A 22310-nucleotide genomic window follows, 5' to 3' on the forward strand; every position below is an offset into this window, starting at 1 on the left:
AATGCTCTCAATGCAAATGAAAACACTGTCCTGCTGTGGTCCAGGGAATCTTGATCTTTCCTTCAGAGAGACTTGCAGCTTTGAGCAGGAGCTGCCCTTTCCTTGCTGCCTACTGCATGCTCCCACAACACACATGCACACACACATGCCTTTGCACACAGCTGGACACACGCATACTGTGCTTCATGCCCTCATTAAGGAGGCACAGAAGGGAATGTATCTGTTAGGAAATGAAGACGGCTCAACTCCCTGGTTCCCTGGGTGTTTGCACAGGTGCCCTCTGTGCAGACCATTCTTTGGTCTCTTTCTTCTTTTAGTGAAGGGAGAAGCAGAGCCCCAGTGGGTACCCGGCTACTTTGGGCCCAAGCCAAGGTCACAAGCTTCCTTGGGAGCCTGGTGAGATGGGGGCACCACTGGTCCTCCCAAACCGAGGGGGCAGCATTCAGTGGAGCCGTGAGCCCAGGAAGGTGATAGACAGGATGACTCAGTTCATTAGAAACAACCAAAATCCAGTGAGGAAGGGCAGCCCTCAAAGGTTTTATTCTCCAGGAGGAAGGACTCTCAGGGGCTGCGAGCAGCAGGCACGAGGGCTTTATTGCACCTGCAGTTAGGTGATGGTGACCTACAACTGCACCGGAAACTGGGACCCAGAGTGCCCCGACCTCCTGCTCTGTCTCTCTCTCCCTCTCTCCCTTTCTCCCCCCCTCTCTCCCTTTCTCCCCCTCTGCCTCTCTGGCTTCTCTGTCTCTCTTGTCATCTCTTGCCCCTTTCCCCATCTCTCTTTCTCTCTGCTCTCTCCATCCTCCTCTCCCTCTCAGCCTCCTCTGTCTCTCCCCCATCTCTTTCCACCCATCTTTTGCTTTCTACCTCTCTCTTCCCTCTCCCCATCTCTTTTCTCCCTTTCTCTCTCCCCACTCCTCTCCCTCCTCACCCTCGTTCATGCTCCCTGATCCCCATCCTACACTGCTGCTAAGGCAATGCCAAGGCTACTGTCCTGTCACGGTGTCCCTACTTCCAGCATCCACACATGAAAAGATGCTCAATGTCATTAGTCATTAGGGAAATGCAAATCAAAACCACAATGAGACATCATTTTATACTCATTAGGATGCTATTATCAAACAAATGGAAAATAGCCAGTGTTGGAGATGTGAAGGAAGTGGAACCCTCACACATTGCTCATGGGAATGTATAATGCAGTGGCTCATGGGAATGTATAATGTATAATGTGGAAAAGTTTGGCAGTTCCTCAAAAAGTCAAACATAAAACTACCATATGACCCAGCAATTCCACTCCTAAGTAGATGTCCAAAACCCCTGACAGCAGGGTTGCAAACAGGTACTTGAACTCAGGAACGGAAAACCAAACATCATATGTTCTCACTGATATGTGGGAGCAAAACTATGAGGATGCAAAGGCATAAGAATGATACAATGGACATTGGGGACTTGGGGGGAAGATTGGAAGGTGGGGGCGAGGGATAAAAGACAACAAATATGGTGCAGTGTATACTGTTCTGGTGATGAGTGCACCAAAATCTCAGAAATCACCACTAAAGAACTTATTCATGTAGCCAAATACCACCTGTACCCCAATAACTTATCAAAAAATAAAACACAATTTTTAAAAAAACAGATACTTGTGTCCCAACATTCAGAGCAGCATATTCACAATAGCCAAAAGGTAGAAACAGCCCAATTGTTCATCAACAGAAGAATAAATGAGCAACATGTATTATATGTGCACAGGGGGATACTATTCAGTTATTAAAATGAATGGAATACTTATACTTCCTGCAAATATGGATGGACTTTGAAGATTTGCAATTCAAATCTAATGAATAGACAGGGCCGAGCATAATGGCTTATCCCTTTAATGCCAGGACTTTGGGAGGCTGAGGTAGGAGGATCACTTGAGCCCAGGAGTTTGAGATCAGCCTGGGCAACATAGCAAGACCTCATCTGTACAAAAAAATTGTTTAAATGCCAGGCATGGTGGTGTAGGCCTGTATTCTTGGCTACTGGCAGGGCTGTGGAGGGAGTCTCGCTTGGGTTCAGGAGGTTGAGGCTGCGGTGCACTAGGATACCACCACTGCAATCCAACATGGGGAAGAGAGCAAGATCCCTCTCTAAACATAAAAATTATAAAAATAACACACAAAATGGCTCAGCACGGTGGCTCATTCCTGTAATCCCAACACTTTGGGAGACCAAGGTGGGTGGATCACGAGGTCAAGAGATGGAGACCATCCTGGCCAATGTGATGAAACTCTGTCTCTACTAAAAATACAAAAATTAGCTGGGTGTGGTGGTTCCTGTGTGTAGTCCCAGCTACTCAGGAGACTCAGGCAGGAGAATCGCTTGAACCCGGGAGGCAAAGGTGGCAGTGAGCTGAGATCATGCCACTGCACTCCAGCCTGGTGACAGAGCAAGACTCCATCTCAAAATAATAAAAACAAAAACAAGTAAGTGTGTGTCTGTGCCCATGCCTCCGAGCAAGTTCGTGTCAGCATGCATAGCTGTGTTGTGTCCAGGTGAGTAGGCACATGTGCATGTGTGCGAGTGTTGGATGCTGGGGCAGTCAGGGTTAGAGTCACTCACAGTCAGCACCTGCTCTTCACTTCCTCATGCCTGGTTCCTACAGGCCCCCACAAGAAGCATGTAGGGCCCAAGCACCCCTTGCCACCTCTTAACCCCAAGCACAGGCATGAGAGGGTGAGGGTGGCCGACTGCAGGGCCCAGGCTTGGAGGACCCTGGAGCTGACTCCTGGTGCACATGCCACAACCGCCAGCCTGCCCTGGCCTGGCTCCTGGGAAACACTTGCCCTTGGCCAGCTGGAGAGGTGTTGATTTGGGACACAGCCCCACAGTGATCACCACTTTATCCCACCCCCAAATACTTCCTAAGGCCATTTATTGCTAGGAGATGGGCACAGGCAGCCTGCTGTGATGACTTCCTAGACACAGGCTCTGGGGACAGGAAGCCCATCTGGCCCCCTTCCTATGACATGGCTGGGAGGCAGGAGGTGGGCCTCGGGTAAGAAGGATAGATAAGGGCAGCTTGGGCAGGTTGGGGTGATCAGACCCAACATCAGGCCATGGGGGCTTCGAAGTCCAGCGGAGTCATAGGAATGAGAAAAGACAGGAAATAAAGTGGGACCAGGGGGCCAACACTAGTATGGAGGCTGCAAAGGCCCTGAGCTCTGGGAGCCCAGGCTATTTACTGGTGCTCAAACAAAGAAACACATGGTGAGGATGTGGGGGTTTAAAGGAAGCAATGTATCAAGTGAGTGAGCTACAGCTGCGATGGTGTAGCATTTTCTTTGAAACATGTGGCTACTTGAGATAATGGGAGTGCTAGAAGCAAGAGCTAGCAAGTCTAGCAGACATGCAAGCCCTGCCTCAGCTTCTCTCCCAACACTCAGCTTTTCTCCCAAAAGGACAGAGGAAGCAGCAGTAAGTCTCAGAGCCTCAGGACCAGAGGGGCCCCAGTGCCCCTTGGTCAGGATGCTGAGCCCAGAGAGGGCAAGATCCTGACTTGAGGTCACAGAGCAGCAATCCCTGGCAGAACTAGCATTCCTTTTGGAGAAATTCAGAGTTCATGGTCCCCAGGAGTCATTCATTTACTCATGCATTCATTCGGCAATTACATATGGAGCCTCTACTATATGCCAGGCCCACTTCTAGCCCCAGCATACAGCAGTGGACAAGACAAACCAATCCCCACCTCAAGGAGCTGATGCTCTGGTCACAGAGACAGAAAACAAGTGAAGAAGATCACATTACATGATGCTAAAGGCTAGCAAATAAAATTACACCACATGGAATGTTGGAGTCACTCTGTCCAAATGGTGGCCACTAGCCCCATATGGCTATTTGAGTTTCAAGCAATTGGAGTAATTGAAAATTAAGAGTTTAGCGGCCGGGCACGGTGGCTCACATCTGTAATCCCAGCACTTTGGGAGGCCGAGGCAGGCGGATCACGAGGTCAGGAGATGAAGACCATCCTGGCTAACATGGTGAAACCCCGCCTCTACTAAAAATACAAAAAATTAGCCAGGCGTGGTGGCGGGCACCTGTAATCCTAGCAACTCAGGAGGCTGAGGCAGGAGAATGGGAGAGATTGAGACCATCCTGGCTAACACGATGAAACCCCATCTCTACTAAAAATACAAAAAAATTAGCTGGGGGTGGTGGCAGGCACCTGTAATCTCAGCTACTCGGGAGGCCGAGGCAAGAGAATGGCATGAACCTGGGAGGCAGAGCTTGCAGTGAGATGAGATCATGCCACTGCACTCCAGCCTGGGCAACAGAGCGAGACTCCATCTCAAAAAAAAAAAAAAAAAGAGTTTAGCGGACCTGCAGCCGTGCTTGGAGTTTGCAGACGCTGCGTCACTGTCACCACTACCTTGCTCCCATCCCCGCTGCAGCCAGGGGCATGCTCAGTCACCCCGGGCAGTGTCCCCGCTGTGGCCCTGTGGCAATGGCCACCAAGGTTGACAAAGAGGCTTGCTGGGAGGCCTACAACCTGGCGCGAGATGACGGCTTGGCCGTCATCTGGGTGACTTTTAAATATGACGGCTCCACCATCGTCCGTATCGGGCAAGGAGTGGAATACCAGCACTTCATCCCACAGTGCACAGATGAGATCTGGTTGCTTGCCTTCGTGTGCGTCACCACGAGGGATGCCACCCTCATCAGGTGGATCGGCGAGAATGTCAAGACCCTGGTGAAGGAGGTCATACAGGATTTCACTAAGGAGTTTGTGATCAGTGATCAGAAGGAGCTGGAGGGAGATGTAATGAAAAGTGAACTGAAGAAGACTCCAGGTGGAGTAACCCCAGCTTCCCCACTGCCCCTTGCCAAAGTCATCTGTCTACTCCCCGGGGAAGGGGCCCTCAGGCCTCAGCTACCAACCCACCAGCCCACCAGGGAGAAAAGAATCCATGAGAGGCAGTGCCCGCCACCCTGTGTCCACAGCCCCCACCTTCCTGCTTCCCTTAGAACACTGCTGTGTCTTATCTCATGAAGCTTGTGGAACCCCTTTCTTTGATTTTTTTCTTTTCTCCCCCTCTCTTTTGTTCTAAAGAAAAATTATTTTGATGCAAGGTCCTGCCTGTCATCAGATCCGAGGTGCCTCCTGCGGTAACCCCTTTTCCTGGCATTTCTCTTACATATAATGAGGCTGCCTAGTGGGATCTGTGCAACCTCATGTTGCTTCTGGAGCCTAGATTTGTTTTGCCATCTCAGTTTTCTTGGGCCCCCCTTCCTGTTTACCACTGAGGGGCAGCTGGGCCAGGAGTGGCACCTGGTGATTGCAGCCTTCATAAGCACACAAGTCCATTCCTGTAGTCAGTCCCAGACCTCCTGGAGTCTGCCCCGGGCTCCCTCATCCCACCTTCATCCAGAGTTGCCTAAGTTGCATCTCCAGCAAACGCAGGATTGCTCAGTGGTGAGAAAGTTAGGTCTGGCTCTGATCGAATAAGAGATAAAATTTGCCTTAAAACTTGCCTGGCCGGGTGGATCACCTGAGGTCAGGAGTTCGAGACCACCCTGACCAACATGGTGAAACCCCATTTCTACTAAAAATACAAAAATGAGCCAGACATGGTGGTGGGTGCCTGTAATCCCAGCTACTAGGGAGGCTGAGGCAGGAGAATCACTAGAACCCAGGAGGCGGAGGTAGCACTGAGCCGAGATTGCGCCATTACACTCTAGCCTGGGGACAGGGAGAGATTCTGTCTGAAAAAAAAAAAAAAAAAACAACCTTGCCTGGCAGTGGCTTTGCGGCAGGGTCTGAAAGCACCCGTTCCCACCCTCTTGACTGAAATGTCCTAGTGACACAGAGAAGGGCAAAGGTCTGGGCCCAGAGTTGACAGAGGGACTATTTCAGGGTTCACTTCAGGGCCTCCCAAAGCAATGAGGGTGTTAGGGAGAGAGGCCCAGGGTGGGGACTGGGAATTCAAGGAGAGCTGGGAACTGATCACTTAGGTTCAGGAAGCTTCTGTACAAGCAGTAAGGATGGCTTGGGCCAGAGGGCTACTCCCCCTGTGGTGCTAGCGGTGAGCAAAGCCCTGGGCTCACGGCACCGCTAAAGCTCATGGCTTCAATCCTACACCTGCACCACACATTCAAAAGGATCGTTTTTTGTTGTTTGTTTGTTTTTGTTTTTTCAGGCAGAGTTTCACTCTTGTTGCCCTGGCTGGAGTGCAGTGGTACTATCTCGGCTCACCGGAACCTCCACCTCCCAGGTTCAGGCCATTCTCCTGCCTCAGCCTCCTGAGCAGCTGGGATTACAGGTGCCCACCACCACGTCTGGCTAATTTTTGTATTTTTAGTAGAGACGGGGTTTCTCCATGTTTGTCAGGCTAGTCTCAAACTCCTGACCTCGTGATCCGCCCACCTCAGCCTCCTAAACTGCTGGGATTACAGGAGTGAGCCACCGTGCCCAGCCTGTTTTGTTTTTAAAGAAAGATGAGATTGTCTTGGTTCTTCATGAGAAAATTTTATATAGCTCTTTTTCTTTTTTTCCTTGCTCATTTCATTTTGGAAAAGAAATCTGTACTGTATTGGGATTACGAAGAACATCTCTGCACTCAAACAGCTTAAGAAAGAAATTTTGTTTTTCAAAAAAAAAATGAAAAGAAGAAAATTAAGAGTTCAGTTCTTCCATCGCAATAGCCACATTTCAGGGGCTTGTTAGCCGCACGGGGTGGCTGCTGTGTTTGACAGCGGACGGGGAGCATTTCCATCACTGAAGGAACCACCGGACAGGGCTGGTGTGGGGAGTGCACAGAGGGCTGGGGGCTGGATGGCCGAGGACAGCGACATCTGGGCTGTCCTGCTGAGAAGGGGTGGCCACATGGCGACACACCAGGAGGAGGGGACAGCAGGTTCAATGTTGGCCAGATGGGGATGTGCTTGATGTGTTCAAAGGACAGAAAAGACAGACGGAGCAAGGGGAGAGGAGAGCAAGGTGGGGCTGGGGAGGTCAGCGGGGGGGCCTCTGGGGCCTGGGTAAACAGTTTTCTGCTTTACGTGGAAGGCGTCAGGAAGCCATGGGGAGAGGGGTTAAGCAGGGGAGTTGCATAGTTTGAACAATATATGAAGAATGGATTTGTGGGGGCAAGAGTGGAAGGAAGGAGCCCTAGGGAGGAGGCTATTGTGTCACAGAGAGGAAGGTGACTGAGACCCGGGTGATACGGGGGATGGGGAACAGCCATAGCACAAGCCTCAGGGTTCTGGATCCAGCTGTGCCTGAAGTTGATCCCCCCTCTCCTCCCTTTCTCCTCTTGGTTACTGGGCACTGACTGAAACACCCCTCATTACTACCACCCACCTATCCCCTCCCTCACAAAACACCTGACTGTCTCTCCTCCTGTCTCTGTGCAGAGCACTCAGAAGGGACCTAGGCTTCCCTCAGTGCCCTGGGTCCAATTTCTTTTCAGAACTTTTCCCCCCTGACTGCATCCCAGGGCTGATAAGATAGCCCTGTCTAGTCACCTTGGAGTCCTGGGAAGATACCTTAGGCCACCTGGTGTTTCACTTACTTTCCCCACCAGGACGATTTCCTGGAGCTGTGAGCAGGAGGCAGGAGGAACCAGCTGGCTCTGGGTCTGGGAGGTGGAGGCAATGAAAAGAGAAGGCTCAGCTTCAGTTGCAACCGTTGGGACTTTGGTTTTCTCTTAGGAAGAACTTCCCCTCTATAAAAGGGCCGATGCCATCCTCGTGCATTCGCAGCGGAGGGGATCTCCTAGGGTCCTAAGAATAAGGTGGAAAACCTGCTCCCTAGGGTGGGTACCGAGAGGCCAGCTCTGCTCCTCCAAAGCTGGGCACTCATTCTCCCTCAGGACCTTTGCAGCTGCAGTTCCCTCTGCCAAGACCCCAGGTGGCTCCTCCATCTCGCTCCAAAGTCTCCTCCTGAGTGGCGTTGTGGATTGCCTGATGAGCACGGCTCCCTCCTCGGAAGCACCTTGTCTGTCTCCTGTACTAGAACGCCAGCTCCACAAGGGCAGGGCGGTTGTTGATCTTGTTTCTCTCTGTCCCTTCCTGTCTGACACTGTGCCTGGCACATGGTGGATGTTCCCAGGAGGTTTCTGGAATGAGCAGATGTCTGGGGTGAGTGTGGGCAGGTGGCTGCCATGCATACAGAGCCTGCCAGGCCCTAGTGGGCTCAGACTCACCCTCTCACTGCACCCTCCCAATGGGGATCAGGACTTTGAGGCTTAGAGAGGTGAGGTCACTCACCCAAATGGCACAGCCAGTATGTGGTGGCCCTGGTCTGGAGAGGCCTGGAGGGGACTTGGGGGGGTTGGAGGCTGGGCCAGGGCCTGTGGACACGCTGCCTTTCCACATGACAGCTGTCCACCCATCCACAGGCCCTGCTTCCCCTGCCAAGTCCCACCTGGGGCTTCCCTGGCCACCTTAGGTCCTCAGGTACAATTGCACTGCAGGGCACTGGCCTGTGGCACACAGAAGCGGGCCCTGCAGCCCAGATTCACACAGCAAGTGAATGAGGCATAGCTGAAAACCGTGCGTATGGTGGCCTCAGCCGGGCCACACTGGGTAGACCCTGACTTGGGCAGGCATGTGGCTCCACCCATCACTGGGCCGGCAGCCCTGCCTCCTGAGTGCACCTGCTACACCCAGGGCTTGCACCAGCTTTGGGGACAGGGGCCGCCTCTCCAAAGAATGCAGCTCATTGTCAGCGATGGGGCAGGATTCCTTCCCGATGGCCGCACCCAGCGGGGGATCTGTCCAGATGGACAAGGGCAGCTGAGTGAGGTGCCTGAGGAAAGCTGACCCCCTCCATCCTGTGATGGATCCTACCTGTGTCCACCCCATCCTGTCTGACTGCTTCAGCTCACTCTGTCTGTCCCAGCCAGTCTGGAGCCACACTTCCTTGCAGCTCTGTGGCTCCTTCCAACTGCACGGCCTTCCCTGGGCCACTTCCCCTGCCTAGAAGGCTTTTTGCTCATTGTTTCCATTTCTGCTTGGTCTTGGTTACGTGGTCTTGGTTGGAGGATGGTCTCTCTGATCGACACCCCTGCGTGTGGGACCCTCTCCCTGTGGCCTCCATGTTCAAAATGTTCATTCTCACCTGCCTCAGGGCCTTTGCACTTGCCATGCCCCAACCCAAGCTAGTCTTTCCAGGCCACTGCCTCTGAGCCACCTTCCCACTTCCCTAAACAGGCTCCTCTGTCCTTGGCCTGCAGGGCAGTTATGGTTGCCTTTGCATGTGGAGTCGGTGCTCACTATGGCACAGCCCTGCCTGTAAGCTGGGGAATCCAGCCATTGAGGAGTGCTTGCCAAAAGAATGAACGAGCATTATGATTCAGAAAGGGCCTGGACCCACATGTGTCCCCCAACACAGTGTGTGACCTGAGATGACAGCTCCCCCTCTGCACTGCATCTCCTCTGTCCACTGTGGTGGTAGGTCCCCAAGATCCCCAAGGGTCCTGCTGGCCCTCACCTTTGAAGCTCTGGGACACAATTATCAAGGGAGACCACTGCCTACACTCCCAGAGCTGAGAGCACAAACAAGCTCTTAAATCAATCAGCGACATCACCTTCCAAGTGAAGAAAACAGGACCTCTGGCCTAGACACAAGGACAGGGGAGAGGAGGCTGCAAACATCCCTGAGTGAGCTGGCTAGGAAGGGTCACTAGTTGCCTGGACCTGGAAGTTGAGGAACCCACAGAGAAAAGCAGGGAATCTCAGCTGGAAGATGGGGACGATATCAACTCAGACCCTCAGACTCAACCTGGTGAGGGAGAGTGGATATATCAAGACTCCTTACACCACCAAAATCAACTCTGGCTAAGTCCAGCCAAGGCAAAGCAAGCAAGGAATGTGCCGGGAGATTATAGGTTAGCTCACAGAAACAAAAGAAGAAGTAAAAAACCATATACTGGAAAGGACTGCTTTGGATATGAAATTTAGGTAGCCAAACTAATGGGAAGCCCTTGGATGAATGAAATCCCTCTGCTTCCATCCTCAAGTCACTCTACTCAAGATCCAAATTTCCTTAATATATAAAGAGTTCCTACAGTCAATAAGACAAATGAAACTGCAATCGAAAATATGAAATAGAAAAAATGTCCACGAGTATAGACATGAACAGATAGTTCACAGAGCAGGAAGTAGAAATGGCCCTTGAGCTGATAAACAATGTTTAGCCTAATTTATAACCAGAGAAGTGCAAATGGAAACTATAGTTCAAGCCCATTTTTCACTTATCACATTGGCAATTATCCAAAACTGTGATAACACTGTGTCACCGTGGGTGTGGGAGACAAGCTCTCTCCTGCATTACTGGTGGGAGTATAAACTGGTAAGGCCACTATCAACATTTTTTTTAATGCACATGCCTTTTGATCTGAAAACTTACTCCTAGAAATGTACAGGGACACTTGCAAATGTGCTGATGGCCCTAGTACAAAGATATTTATTGTGGTGTGTTTCTCTTGTAATAGCAAGATTGGAAACAATCTAAATACCCATCAATAGAGGTTGGTGAGCTCCATAATAATGTAGCCACTCAGTGAACTCTGCAACGGTGAAAAAGAAGAATGAGGTAGCTTTACATACTGCAGCCTGGAATGATCTTCCAGATAGACTATCCCATGAAAAAGCATGGTGCATGCATATTTGTGAAAGCCTCCATTTCTGGTCTCTGAATTCAGAACGCTCACCTTTGTCTTGTGTGGCTACTGTCCACTCTCCACCGGCAGGTCACAGAAGTGTGACCCCTCGCACCTTTCTATGTGCCCCTTTCCTGGCCTGAATGGCCTTGGTTTCCAACTGTCCACACCTATGACTCTTTGCAGCAAGACTGTCATCAGGCTATTGGAGCCCCTTGGTCCTTTCTGCAGAGAGCTGGAAAAGTCCCCCTGCCGCAGGATGGCCCTTCACTAATGACTGACATGTGTATCCTTAGCTCAGGCTGGGAAACGGAGATGTGACTCCACTCCACAGTCCACAGAGGGACCTGCTTCTGTAGGATTTTGCCTGGGGCCACAGCCTTGCATGGCTTTTCCCCTCTCTGTCTGCTACCCCCGTTCCCTTACCGCTCTCCTTGGGTGCCGTCCTTCATCAGTCACTGCCATACAAATCAGGATCTACTTCTGGGGAACGTGACCCAGATAGCTGCCCCCTTACCCTGCTCCTTGCTTTTTGCAGGTAGGGTGTGCCTGTGTATGCATGTGTATGATGCAACATGGGCACCATGGTTCTTCCCGTTTCACAGGTGGGGGACCTAGAGCTCCACGGCTCGCCTTAGGTCCCAGGTAGGAAGTGGCAAGCGACTTTGAAGCCAAGTAGTCTGGCTCCAAGGCCAAACTCACATCCACTGTTATATAGAAAATAGCCTAGAGAAGGAAAGCTCCAAGTGCAAGGAAAATCCGCATTATCAAAGCAGGCTAAGCAGGGAAGACCATTTATTTTCCCAAAAGATTCTATTCTGTGGTCTTCCCTTCATAAACACACATCCCACTGTCAGATGCAAATCCTAGAGCTAGAAATGGGGCATTCAAGGTAGACGGAGCTCCTAGGAACAGCACGTTTGCAGAGATGGGAAGTGACCCTCCCACTGGTTTTGGTTTCTCCATGGCTACAGGCAAAGCCTGCCTGCTCTGCATCCGGGGATCTTGGTCAGGTGTTGGAATCGGTGGGTGGATTGCCGGTACATTTGCACTGTGTCCTAGAGAGCCTCTATGCATTTCAACTCTGATTCTCCTTCACCATCTACGTGCAGCCCACAACCGCAGGACCCCGCCCCTGGCCCTGAATCTCCCATGTCCTGGCGCCAAGCAGGCGAGTCAGCCTAGGAGGAGGCAGGGCTCCCGGAAGCCAAGCCCATGCTGGGATGGTGAGAAACAACTTTCCTATGCAAGGAGGTGCCTGAGCACCCGCTGATGATCAAGCCGGAGCCCCCTCACCTCCCCGAAGTGTGGTGAAGGAAAGACAGGCCGGAAAGAGGTGGCAGTCTTCACCTGCTGTGGTTGAGTTTCTCACTCATGCCAAGTTTTACATAAGCTGGGGACCATGTGCTTCAAGGCTAGAGGTCTTGGCGGGCCCAGGGCCTTGGATGGGCCTGGATGACCAAGGGGTCTGAGACTTAGGCCCTGGCTCTGCATGGGGAATCTTGGGAAGGTTGGAAGCCCACGGCCCCTACTGAGAAAGGAGCCACGGTCCAGATCTTTTGCACAAATCCCACCTGTGCTCCTTGACCGCCCCTCCCCACCGGGGCCATGGTGACCACGCAGGCAGAAGCCTCCATCCGTTCACAGGACCAGCATCCTGGGAGGACCCTGGCCTGAGCGAGCTGCTGCAGGGGACCCTCAGGCTGGATGGTTGGCCACTCGGCACCCTTTTCTCTGTGGAGCAGGGATGACATTTGAGAGCCACCAAAGATGGGCTGGAAAAACAAAGGCCACCACAAAGGAAGCTGAAGGCAGAAAGAGATGCAGAGAAAGTGGGAGAAACTCGGCTGTGCTTTGTGGGGGCCCTGCAGGGACATCGGCTCCTGAAGGGATGAGAGAAAGGGTCCCCTGAACTTTGACACTCTGTTCTTCTCAAGGCCTGGCCAGCCCTGTGGCTCCTTAGAGGAATCTGGGTGCCTTCTGTCCCTAGTACCTGACAAGCCCCAGGTGAGAAGACCTGAGCTCACCTGCGCTGCCACGTGTAACCTGATGGCCCCGGCACCCTCGCAGGGTTTGAATAGCTGCCCTTTCCACCTGTTTCCCAGATTTTCCACACCACCCAGAGGCTCATATTCAACCCCACAGCCTACAAGTCAGCCAGGGGCCTTTGGCCACATGTACTGATGATGAGAATCACTGGATTGTAAGCTGTAAAAGCGCAAGGATGGTGTTTTGTTCCCCGCTACCCCCTGCACCTGAGGCCCAGCGAGGATTGCTGCTCGGATGAAGGAGAGCGAGTGTTCGTGGAGCTCTTTGCAGAAGCCACGGGAAGCCCTTCCTGTGCCTTCTCGGGTTTAGTTCTCAGACAGCCCCACTTTCCAGATGAGGAAACGGAGGCTAAGAAAGGAGAATAAACTTGTCCAGAATCAGTGGTGAGGCTGGTATTTGAACCCCATCCTGTTGGACTCAACACTTCCTCTGAAAAGACAGGATAAGGGAGCTGCCTACTTCTGGCTTTGGGAACCGGCAGAGAGGAGCAGAGTTGGGCCAGACGCGTCACCTCCCAAGCTCTGCGGCACCCAAGGGTTCCCAGGGTCCTCTTCCTCCGTTTGGCTCTTTTCTTCTCTGGACTCTCCCACCTTCGAGGATTGGACTCCTTGCAGGGAGCGCAAAGCAGAGAACAGAGGAGGCCCATCTGAGGAGAGTGTGCTGGAGCAGATGGGGCACACAGAGAGCCCCCAAACCTGAGCCTCACCTGGAGAGTGGCTCCCTGCAAGCTGAGCCCCTGTGTGCCCAGAAGTGACATAGGCATTCAGGAAAGGGACTGAGGGAGGAAAGAAGGAGCCATTCCTCTTCCCAGGGGCGCCTGCCCTGGGTTCCTGAGGGAGGCTCCATGTTTACATCTCCAAAGGCCAGTCCCAAACACGCCAGAGTGCAATGCCCTCCCTCAGACCCAGGGCCATCCTCGGAGCAGCCGGGAGGCAGCCTGTCCACTCTTACCGCAGGCAGGTCACCCAGGCAGCCTCCTCTTAGAGCTCCTGAATTCTGGAGCATCAAATAGAAATGTGAAAAACAGGCTGGGCATGGTGGCTCACACCTGTAATCCCAGCACTTTGGGAGGCTGAGGTGGGCAGATCATTTGAGATCAGGATTTTGAGACCAACCTGGCCAACACAGTGAGACCCTGTCTCTACTAAAAATACAAGTAAATAAGCCAAGCATGGTGGTCCACACCTGCAGTCCCAGTTACCTGGGAGGCTGAGGCAGGAGAATCATTTGCATCCAGGAGATAGAAGTTGCAGTGAGCTGAGATCGCGCCGCTGCACTCCAGCCTGGGTGACAGAGTGAGACTCCGTGTAAAAAAAAAAAATGAGAGAGAAAATTAATGTGACAAAATGTTAACAATGGGTGAATGTAGGTAAGAGTATGTGGCAGGGTGTTTTTTCTTCTTGCAAATTTTGTGTAGGTTTGACGTTACCTCAGAATAGCAAATATAAGAATGATTCCTGCAGACACACGAGTGATTTCAGCTGTTCACAGGGCTCAGGCAGGAAGCAGATCTCTTGCCCTCCCTCTGATCCAGGTCACTTAGTCCAGTCCCTGAAAGCAGTGGATGGACAACCATGCCACCCTCTTTCTTCCAATACACCTTATTTTGTATCCTGCCCTTTTTGTGTAGCATTAGATCATGAGCATTTTCCTCTGCTATAAATGTCCCCTCAAATATGTTGTTTCTTGTGACTCCCTAGTGTTCTACCCATGATTTCCTCAGCTGCTCCACCTTGGTGGAATTCAGTGATTCTTCTGCCTTTTCACCATTGTAAGTGATGCTTTGATGAACAGCTTTGTAGGTTCATCTGTGCTGCACCTCTGACCAGTCTCTTCTGGAAGAGTCTAAGGAAGGAGACAGAGGCATGGACCACTGGCTTTTGAAGGCATTCGGTGGGTCCTGCCACGCCGCCTTCCAGCATTCCAGAAAGGTGGTCCCAGTGAACAACTCACCAGGGCGGGGCCCCACTCCACGGCACCCCAGCAAGGCCAGCATTCGAGACCAGCCTGACCAACATGGTGAAACCCCGTGTCTACTAAAAATGCAAAAATTAGCCGGGCATGGTGGCGGGTGCCTACAATCTCAGCTGCTCAGGAGACTGAGGCAGGAGAATTGCTGGAACCTGGGAGGTGGAGGCTGCAGTGAGCCGAGATCACTCCATTGCACTCCAGCCCAGGTGACAACAGTGAGACTGCATCTCAAAAAAAAAAAAAAATTAGAATAATCTTGTACATGTTATTAACTTTAATTTTGCATGTAACTTTCTTAAAATGATTAAACTTTTCTCAGCATATTCTCATCATTAAATATTATTTAAAACATTATTTTAAGGTTAGATAGTATTTTATCATATAAATAATTCATATTTACTAGTCCCCTGTTGTTGAACATATATGTATTATTGAACCTTTATGTTCTTTCCAGTCTTTCAATATTCAAATACTTTTTCATCTCTTTCTTATTACTTACTTAGGAAAAATTTCTAGATGTGGAATTACTGAGTCAGAGGATAAATATTTTAAAGACTTCTAACATATTCAGCCAGATTGCCCTTCAGAAATATTATACCAATTTGTTCCAGCAGTCATGAGAACACGCACTTCCCTGAGCTCTTGCCAGCACTTGATATTATATTGTTATTGCCTTCCAATCTGTTAATCGTTTCTTTTTCCTTCTTTTTACCCTTTTTGCTTGGAAATATCTTCCCTAGCCCAAGATCAAATAAACGATAACTTTTCTCATTTAAAAAAATAATTATTTAATCAGTCTAGAATTTGGTTTTTGATATAAGAATCGTGATGATTTTATGATATTCTGCCCACCAACCAGAGCAGTGCTGGAGAGGTGCAGAGATGGCCTCCTGTTTCCTGTTTCCTCCAAGTTCTGGGTCTGTGATTTAGGGATCTGCTGCTGAGAGAGGTTCAAAACATCTTCCCCACCTTATTTCATGGACTGTCATTGTTTCAAGAAGCAAATTATACCATCAGCTCCAGGAAGATTTTCTCCACTGCTTCATCTGTTTTAAGATCAGTCCACTGCAACCTGATTCTGCATTCTGCCATCTGATGGGCTTCGTGGTGGGTCATGTGAGGAGTTTCTATTTTTGTCTGTGTTCTAAATTTGCAGGTATTTTATTGAAAGTATAAAAGTAATTTTAATAGAAGTTACTAGCCAGGCTTTGCATTAGGTTTTAATATCTTGTAGAATAAGAATAAGATTACTTTCTCTTTTTTTGCTTTAAGATTCCTCATTACACTTTTTTTTTTTTTTTTTTCCTTGGGACGGAGTCTCGCTCTGTCACCCAGGCTGGAGTGCAGTGGCACCATCTCAGCCCACTGCAAGCTCTGCCTCCCGGGTTCACGCCATTCTCCTGCCTCAGCCTCCTGAGTAGCTGGGACTACAGGCACCCGCCACCATGCCCCTCCTCCCAAAGTGCTGGGATTACAGGCGTGAGCCACTGCGCCCGGCCTAGATTCCTCATTACTCTTTTGCATTATGTTTAATCTCCCATGTGGCCCTTTTTGAAGTTCTTCCCTAGTCACTCATCTCTCTCTTTTATTATATTTATATATTTATTATATTTATTTATTTATTATTTTGATTGACATTTGCATTATATGTATTAACGAGAAGTAATTTTGCATCTGAAAAATGTCTTATTTTTTCCTCATCATAAAATTACATGTTCATTACAGAAGATTTAGAAAATACAGAAAAGTATAAAAAAGAAAAGTATTACCTTTAATCTTACCACTTGGAGGAAAAAAACTGCAAACATTTTGCTGTCTGTCCTTTCAGATTTTTTCTTAGTTTATACATGTTTGAGCATGCATAAAACTTGCATTGATATGATTATGATATTTCATCTTCCTATCCAGAAGAATAGAGTATGTCTTTCCACATTCCATTACAAAGAACCAGTTGGATTCATTTATTTATTCCACTGTTAATCTGTTTTGATTAATTCTTGTATCCTACTTCTTGGACATTTCTTTGATTTCTCACTAGTTTCTTGAGTAAAATTGTTTGTTCGTTTCACTTTCTTCTTTCTTGATTGATAATGAAAGCATTTAAAGATATGAATTTGACTTTTCTTATGGCTTTGGCTAAATAGAGACAATAAAATCTAGAAACTTCTGAAATAAATTAAACCTAATTTAGAGAAAAAAGGAAAGTGTACATTTTCCATAGAGTACAAGGCACAACATAAATGTTTAAAATTAAGCTGTTATTAATATTATAAAATCAAGTTACTATTCATGTATCGATATCTTATTGCATGCTAGCTAGAATTATCAAATACTAACAGCAGGACAAAAAAGTCCTCACTAGTAATTTTAGGTGAGAGTTTGAGGTAAAGATGTGGGCATGATATCATATAGGGTTGCTTTCATATCTATCAAGACCTTAGGTCTGTGATTTTGTGCTTTCTTATATGCACAGAAACTGATTTGTAATTGCAGTGAACTTGTAACATACTAATCCTCCTGCCTTTTTACATTACCATAGAAAACGCGAAACCCAAACCTCCTAATCAAACTGATAGCTTCTTTTATCTCTACCTCAGAATATCAACTATAATGATATATATAATTTTGGGTCTGCCACAGGGGCAGAGTCCTCATGGAGAACCTCTGCTAGAGCAGGGTAGAAGTGAAATGTGGGGTTGGAGCCCCCATACAGGGTCTCCGCTGGGGCACTGCCTAGCAGAGCTGTGAGAAGAGGGCCACCATCCTCCAGACTCCCGAATGGTAGATCCATCAACAGCTGTACCATGTGCCTGGAAAAGCTGCAGTCACTCAATGCCAGCCTGTAAAAACAGCAGTGCCGCAGGGACAGAGCTGCCCAAGACCTTGGGAGCACACATCAGAATGCCCTGGATGTGAGATATGGAGTCAAAGGAGATAATGTTGGAGCTTTAAGATTTAATGACTCCCCTACCAGATTCTGGACTTGCATGAGGCCCATTGGCCCCTTTGTTTTGGCCAATTTCTCCCGTTTGGAATGGGAACATTTACCCAATGCCTGTACCTGTACCCGCATTGCATCTTGGAAGTCACTAACTTGCTTTTGATTTTACAGGCTCGTAAGTGGAAGGGACTTGCCTTGTCTCAGATGAGACTTTGAACTTGGACTTTTGGGTTAATGCTGGAATGAGTTAAGACTTTGGGGGACTGTTGGGAAGGCATAATTGGTTTTGAAATGTGAAAAGGGCATGAGATTTGGGAGGGACCAGTGTCAGAATGATATGGTTTGGCTCTGTGTCCCCACCCAAATCTCATCTTGAATTTTAATCCCCATGTGTCAAGGGAGGGACCTGGTGGGAGGTGATTGGATCATGGGGGTGGTTTGCCCCATGCTCTTCTCATGATAGTAAGTGAGTTTTCATGAGGTCTGATGGATTCATAAGTGGCAGTTTCCCCTGCTCTCCCCTCTCTCCTGCTGCCTTGTGAAGAAATTGCCTGCTTCCCCTTTGCCTTCCATCATGATTGTAAGTTTCCTGAGGCCTTCGCAGCCATGCAGAACTGTGAGCCAATTAAACCTCTTTTGCTTATATATCACCCAGTCTCAGGTATTCTTTAGAGCAGTGTGAAAATGAACTAGTATACGTGAATTCAAATGATAATACTTAAGAGACTCATGTCCAAAAGATAACAGGAGCAGTTTTAGAACAAAACTATAATGAAGGATCTAAAGTGCTGTACTGGGTTCTCTTGACTTACCCAGTGTGCAATGTTATGACCTTGGGCAGGCCCCTTTACACTGTGCAACGTGGGATTCAAATGCGATGGTGGATGGAACCTTGTCCTGAACCTAATTCCATGGGAAGCATTTAACATTTCATCATGACATATGTTTGTTGTAGGCATTTGGTACATACCTTTTATTACCTCATGGAAGTATTCTGCTAAGAGGGGTCTGGTTTGTTTGTGGTTTTTGGTTTGTTTGCTTGCTTGTTTTTTAGAGAGACAGGGTCTCATTCTGTCACCTCAGCTGGAATTCAGTGTTGTGATCCTCACCCACTGCAGCCTTCAACTCCTGAGTTCAAGCGATCCTCCCACCTCAGCCTCCTGAGTAGCTGGGACTGCAGGCACATGCCACCATGCCTGTTAAATTTTTTGATTTTTTTTTTTCAGAATGGGGGTCTCACTCCATTGCCCAAGCTGGTCTCAAACTGTTAGCCTCTAGTGATCCTCCCACCTTGGGCTCCCAAAGAGCTGGGATTACAGGTGTGAGCCACTGTACCCAGGCAAAAGATAACTTTGGAACACCACCTGAGAATGTTACTTACAATGAATCCTGTCCTCATTCTCATTTACTTATTTGGATGGAGTTTCCTGAAATTTGTCTCACTATCATCTAGGATCCTTTTTCTTTCTCCAACTGGGAGATTGTGTCTGGTTTGGAAACTGCAAGCCCTGTTCAGGAAAAGGGAAAAGACCCAAGGCACACACCCAGTCCCCAGGTGATCATCAGGCCCAGGTGAAAACTCAGGCCTTAGGTGCACCTCCGGCCTCAGGTGGACACCCAGGCCCCAGGTGATCACCAGTCCCCAGGTGGACACAAGGCCTTAGGTGAACAACAAGACCCAGTAGGCCATCAGGCCCCAGCTGGATACAGTCCCCAGGTGAACACAAGGCCCCAAGAGGGACATAGGCCAAGGCAGACATCAGGCCCCAGGTGGACATCAGGCCTGAGGACGACATCTGGCCCCTGGTGAACATCAGGCACAGGTGTCCAAGCAGAGCCTGGGTGGACATAACTGTGTACGGGTCAGGAGATGACCTGAGGGGAGGGTGAGTAGTCAGTAACCCAGTGGAGTCCTGAGTAGGCTTATGGAAGGAAGGGGCCTAGGGGACAGAACCGTAAAGAAGCGACCTCACTTCCTCGATGATGACACACACGAAGAGAACTTAGAACTCTGGTAACCAGGCACCCATATCCTAGAGTCAGCGCCGTAACCAGCTCACTTTGTGGGAGACGCTCAAGAGAGCAAGATGTTCTCCTGTTGCTTCCCCACTTCGAGAGGTTGCTGCTTCAGGAATGGAGGGAGTGAGAGCCTTTTCCGACAATGCCGAAGAAGGCTCATCCCTCACCCCAGACGCCTGTGGCCCTTTGTAAGAAGGCGCACCCAGGTACCACAGGACAGCCCGGGGCAGGCCCTAGCTGGCCAGGCCACACCAGAGATCCCATCGGGGCTGCCTCTGCACATTGTCCTTGTCCAGGAGGAGATTCGGGAGCCCATGGAGGCACAGACACATGGTGAGGTGGCTGCAGCCTGGAAGACTTTGCGGGGGCGGTGCTTTTGGGCTGGAATGCCTTTGAATTCAGTGAGGTTGTCTCTGTGTTTGGAAATTCCAGTGGAAAGTGACTGATGCTGGTGACCCTTTCTCCTTTTTCAGCTCCTGGTCCGTACGCAGACATAGCAGCACTTGCGGCACCGGCTGTCGAGCCAAAGCCAGCATGGGAAGAGCCCCCTCCAGAGAGAGCGCTGGAGGTGGAGGGAGCTCCAGCCAAGGACCAGCCCAGCCAGGAGCTGCCTGAAATCATGGCACCTACTGTAGCCACTGGCCTTAATGCTGGAGCTGAAAACGTGGCTGGAGAGAGAAGTGGGAGGGAGGGGGTGACAAGCACAGCCCCAGCCAGCAGATCCCATGCTGCCCCTAGTCCTGGGCATGGTGGCAAACATGGAGGCGGAGACCAGGGCATTCAGACTGGACTCCTGTACCTCGCTGGAGAGAGGCTTCTCTCATTCGCCGGAACCACAGCCCTGCTGCTGCAGGGCCTGTTTATTGTGCTAATTCTGGTGGGGTATATCTCTGTGAAGGTGATGCTCAAGAGCATTAAAACAAGGCTGGGAAGAAGAGTTCCAGCAGCTCCTCCTGCTCTCAGACGCAATCTTCTCCTCCAGGCATGGAAGTGTGTCTGCAACTGGGCATCCAGGCTGTTTGCCCCTAATGTGCTGCCCCGAACGGGCTCTTAACAGGTGGGCAGGGGTTGAGGGGACCAGGAGGTGGCTCCAAAGGGTACAGCAAGGAAAGCTTTTAAAGACAGCTGTTGTGCTCCAGGCTCTCCATGCCACCACCTGCCCTAGCATTTATTAATAGTGTTAGAATTACAAGTTTATGAAATGAAATATAAATAAAGTTTGATTTCTGAAACTTCTCACCTTTTTGAACTCCCTAATGTTAGATGGTGTTTTTGAGGCTATCCTGAAAATCTCGGATAGTTGTGTCTTTTGTTGTGGTTGTTTGTGTGGCTGAATTACCATCGAGTCATCTGTTATTGGAAACCTTTCAGGTATGGCTTTTAGAAGACCTTGACCCACTCTTGCCTGTTTTGACTCTCTGGTTTATTGTGGAAAGAGGGATGATGTAGGCTCATGTCTCCGGCAGATCAATCACCTTTTGCCATCAAGGATTTGGCATCAGAGTTTCCAAGAATTATGTGTGCAAATTGACATGCTGGTACTTTAGCTAATCTGGGTGTCAAAACAGAATGCCATAGACTAGGTAGCATAGAAAATTGATTTCTCACAGTTCTGGAGATGGTAAAATCCGAGGTCAAATGGTCAGCAGATTCCGTGTCTGCAGAGGGCTGGCTTCCTGGTTCATAGACAGCCATCTTTTTACTGTGTCTTTACATGACAGAAGGGGTGAGGGAGCTCTCTGCAGTCCCTTTGATAGGGACACCAATTCCATTCATGAGGTCCCTGCCTTCATGAACCGAATCACCTTCCAAGGCCCCACCCCCAAATACCATCACATAGAATCCAACGCATGAATTTGAGGAGGACAATAACATTTGCTTTATAGAATCAGGTCACCCCGAGCCATATGCACTCACAGGAAATCTATAATCTTCTATTAAGTATTTGCTGGTCCCCTCTGGGGATTGTCTAAACAAAATTGTCTAAACAAAAATTTAGACAATTTTTGTTTTCTTTAAGAAAAATGCTCTTTCATGTGATCCATGGTTTATTCATAGAAAGCACTGTGAGTTCACACACTTGCTAAAAAGAAGGACAATTGCGATACAAAAATGAGAGTGACCTCCCTCTCTCTCTCTCTTTTTAACCAATCAACTGGGCTGAGACATTGTAGGGACCCTTGGCTGGGCAGTAGGACTTGAGTAGCTACATACGGCAAATACAACTTCTTGCTCAGTTTGGAGTAGAAAAGGTGACAGTTTGTCAACAAAAGAAAAAGTAAAGCAGATGGAGAAGTTCTTAGTTCGCATTCTAGCTATACCACCTCTTCCTTATCAAACCCCACCCCCAACTCAGGATCTAACATGTAAAAGAGTAAACACAAAGGCACTGGTAACCAACTGACTCTTCTGAATGCCCTTGCTATCTCCTACAACAATTCCAGGCTGAGCATAGGGGTCAGGAAGGTAGCAGGAACATGATGATACACTGTGGAGGTCAGCCAGGGCTAAGACAGGGCTGCTCATTAGGGCTAGAAATTAAGAAGGGAGAGGCTAAGTGCAGACCAGCCCTAGCCTCCAAGTCAGCACGCAATGAGACTGTGACAAAAGCAGGCAGAGGAAGCTTGACGTAGAAAGGCAGGGGAAGAAAGCAAGTACGGGGCGAGAAGGGAAATGTGCAGTGAAAG

General features: G+C 49.3%; 1 protein-coding gene, 1 long non-coding RNA gene and 1 pseudogene across 6 annotated transcripts, besides 1 other annotated feature; 2 read left to right on the forward strand and 1 right to left on the reverse strand.

Moving 5' to 3' along the window:
- On the forward strand, positions 4362-6634 carry COTL1P2 (COTL1 pseudogene 2; annotated as a pseudogene).
- Positions 14027-19641, reverse strand: LOC105371580 (uncharacterized). Of its 5 annotated transcripts, XR_001753090.3 has the most exons (5): positions 19480-19637; positions 18986-19112; positions 18575-18800; positions 16433-16742; positions 15384-15807 (listed from the first exon to the last, which is right to left on the reverse strand). It is a non-coding gene; the product is annotated as an uncharacterized LOC105371580 (long non-coding RNA). The 5 variants fall into 5 exon arrangements; XR_934315.4 differs by lacking the exon at positions 15384-15807 and adding an exon at positions 14027-14243 and having other exon boundaries at positions 18986-19639; XR_934313.4 differs by having other exon boundaries at positions 15381-15807; positions 16433-16845; positions 18986-19641.
- Positions 18835-19833: an enhancer, noted in NCBI's record as "H3K4me1 hESC enhancer chr17:20482200-20483198 (GRCh37/hg19 assembly coordinates)". NCBI's record gives its function as "activates a minimal SCP1, AML or CMV promoter by ChIP-STARR-seq in primed H9 embryonic stem cells {active_cell/tissue: H9 hESC(primed)}" and the evidence as "EXISTENCE:reporter gene assay evidence [ECO:0000049][PMID:30033119]".
- On the forward strand, positions 19672-20859 carry CDRT15L2 (CMT1A duplicated region transcript 15 like 2). Its single transcript, NM_001190790.2, has 2 exons — positions 19672-19956; positions 20097-20859. Exons 1-2 carry the CDS (start codon positions 19692-19694, stop codon positions 20675-20677), a joined length of 846 nt encoding a protein of 281 aa, NP_001177719.1. The 5' UTR covers positions 19672-19691; the 3' UTR covers positions 20678-20859.
- Positions 20860-22310: the final 1451 nt, after the last annotated feature.

Source organism: Homo sapiens, chromosome 17 (assembly GCF_000001405.40).
Source record: "Homo sapiens chromosome 17, GRCh38.p14 Primary Assembly".
In the NCBI taxonomy this organism is placed as follows: Eukaryota; Metazoa; Chordata; class Mammalia; order Primates; family Hominidae; genus Homo; species Homo sapiens.

What these genes read in the sequence shown, in the direction of transcription:
- CDRT15L2 (NM_001190790.2), top strand. Translation starts at nt 19,692, where the DNA reads ATGTTCTCCTGTTGCTTCCCCACTTCGAGAGGTTGCTGCTTCAGGAAT. An exon ending in CATGGAGGCACAGACACATG is followed by an intron (nt 19,957 to 20,096) that starts GTGAGGTGGCTG and finishes CTCCTTTTTCAG; the next exon opens with CTCCTGGTCCGTACGCAGAC.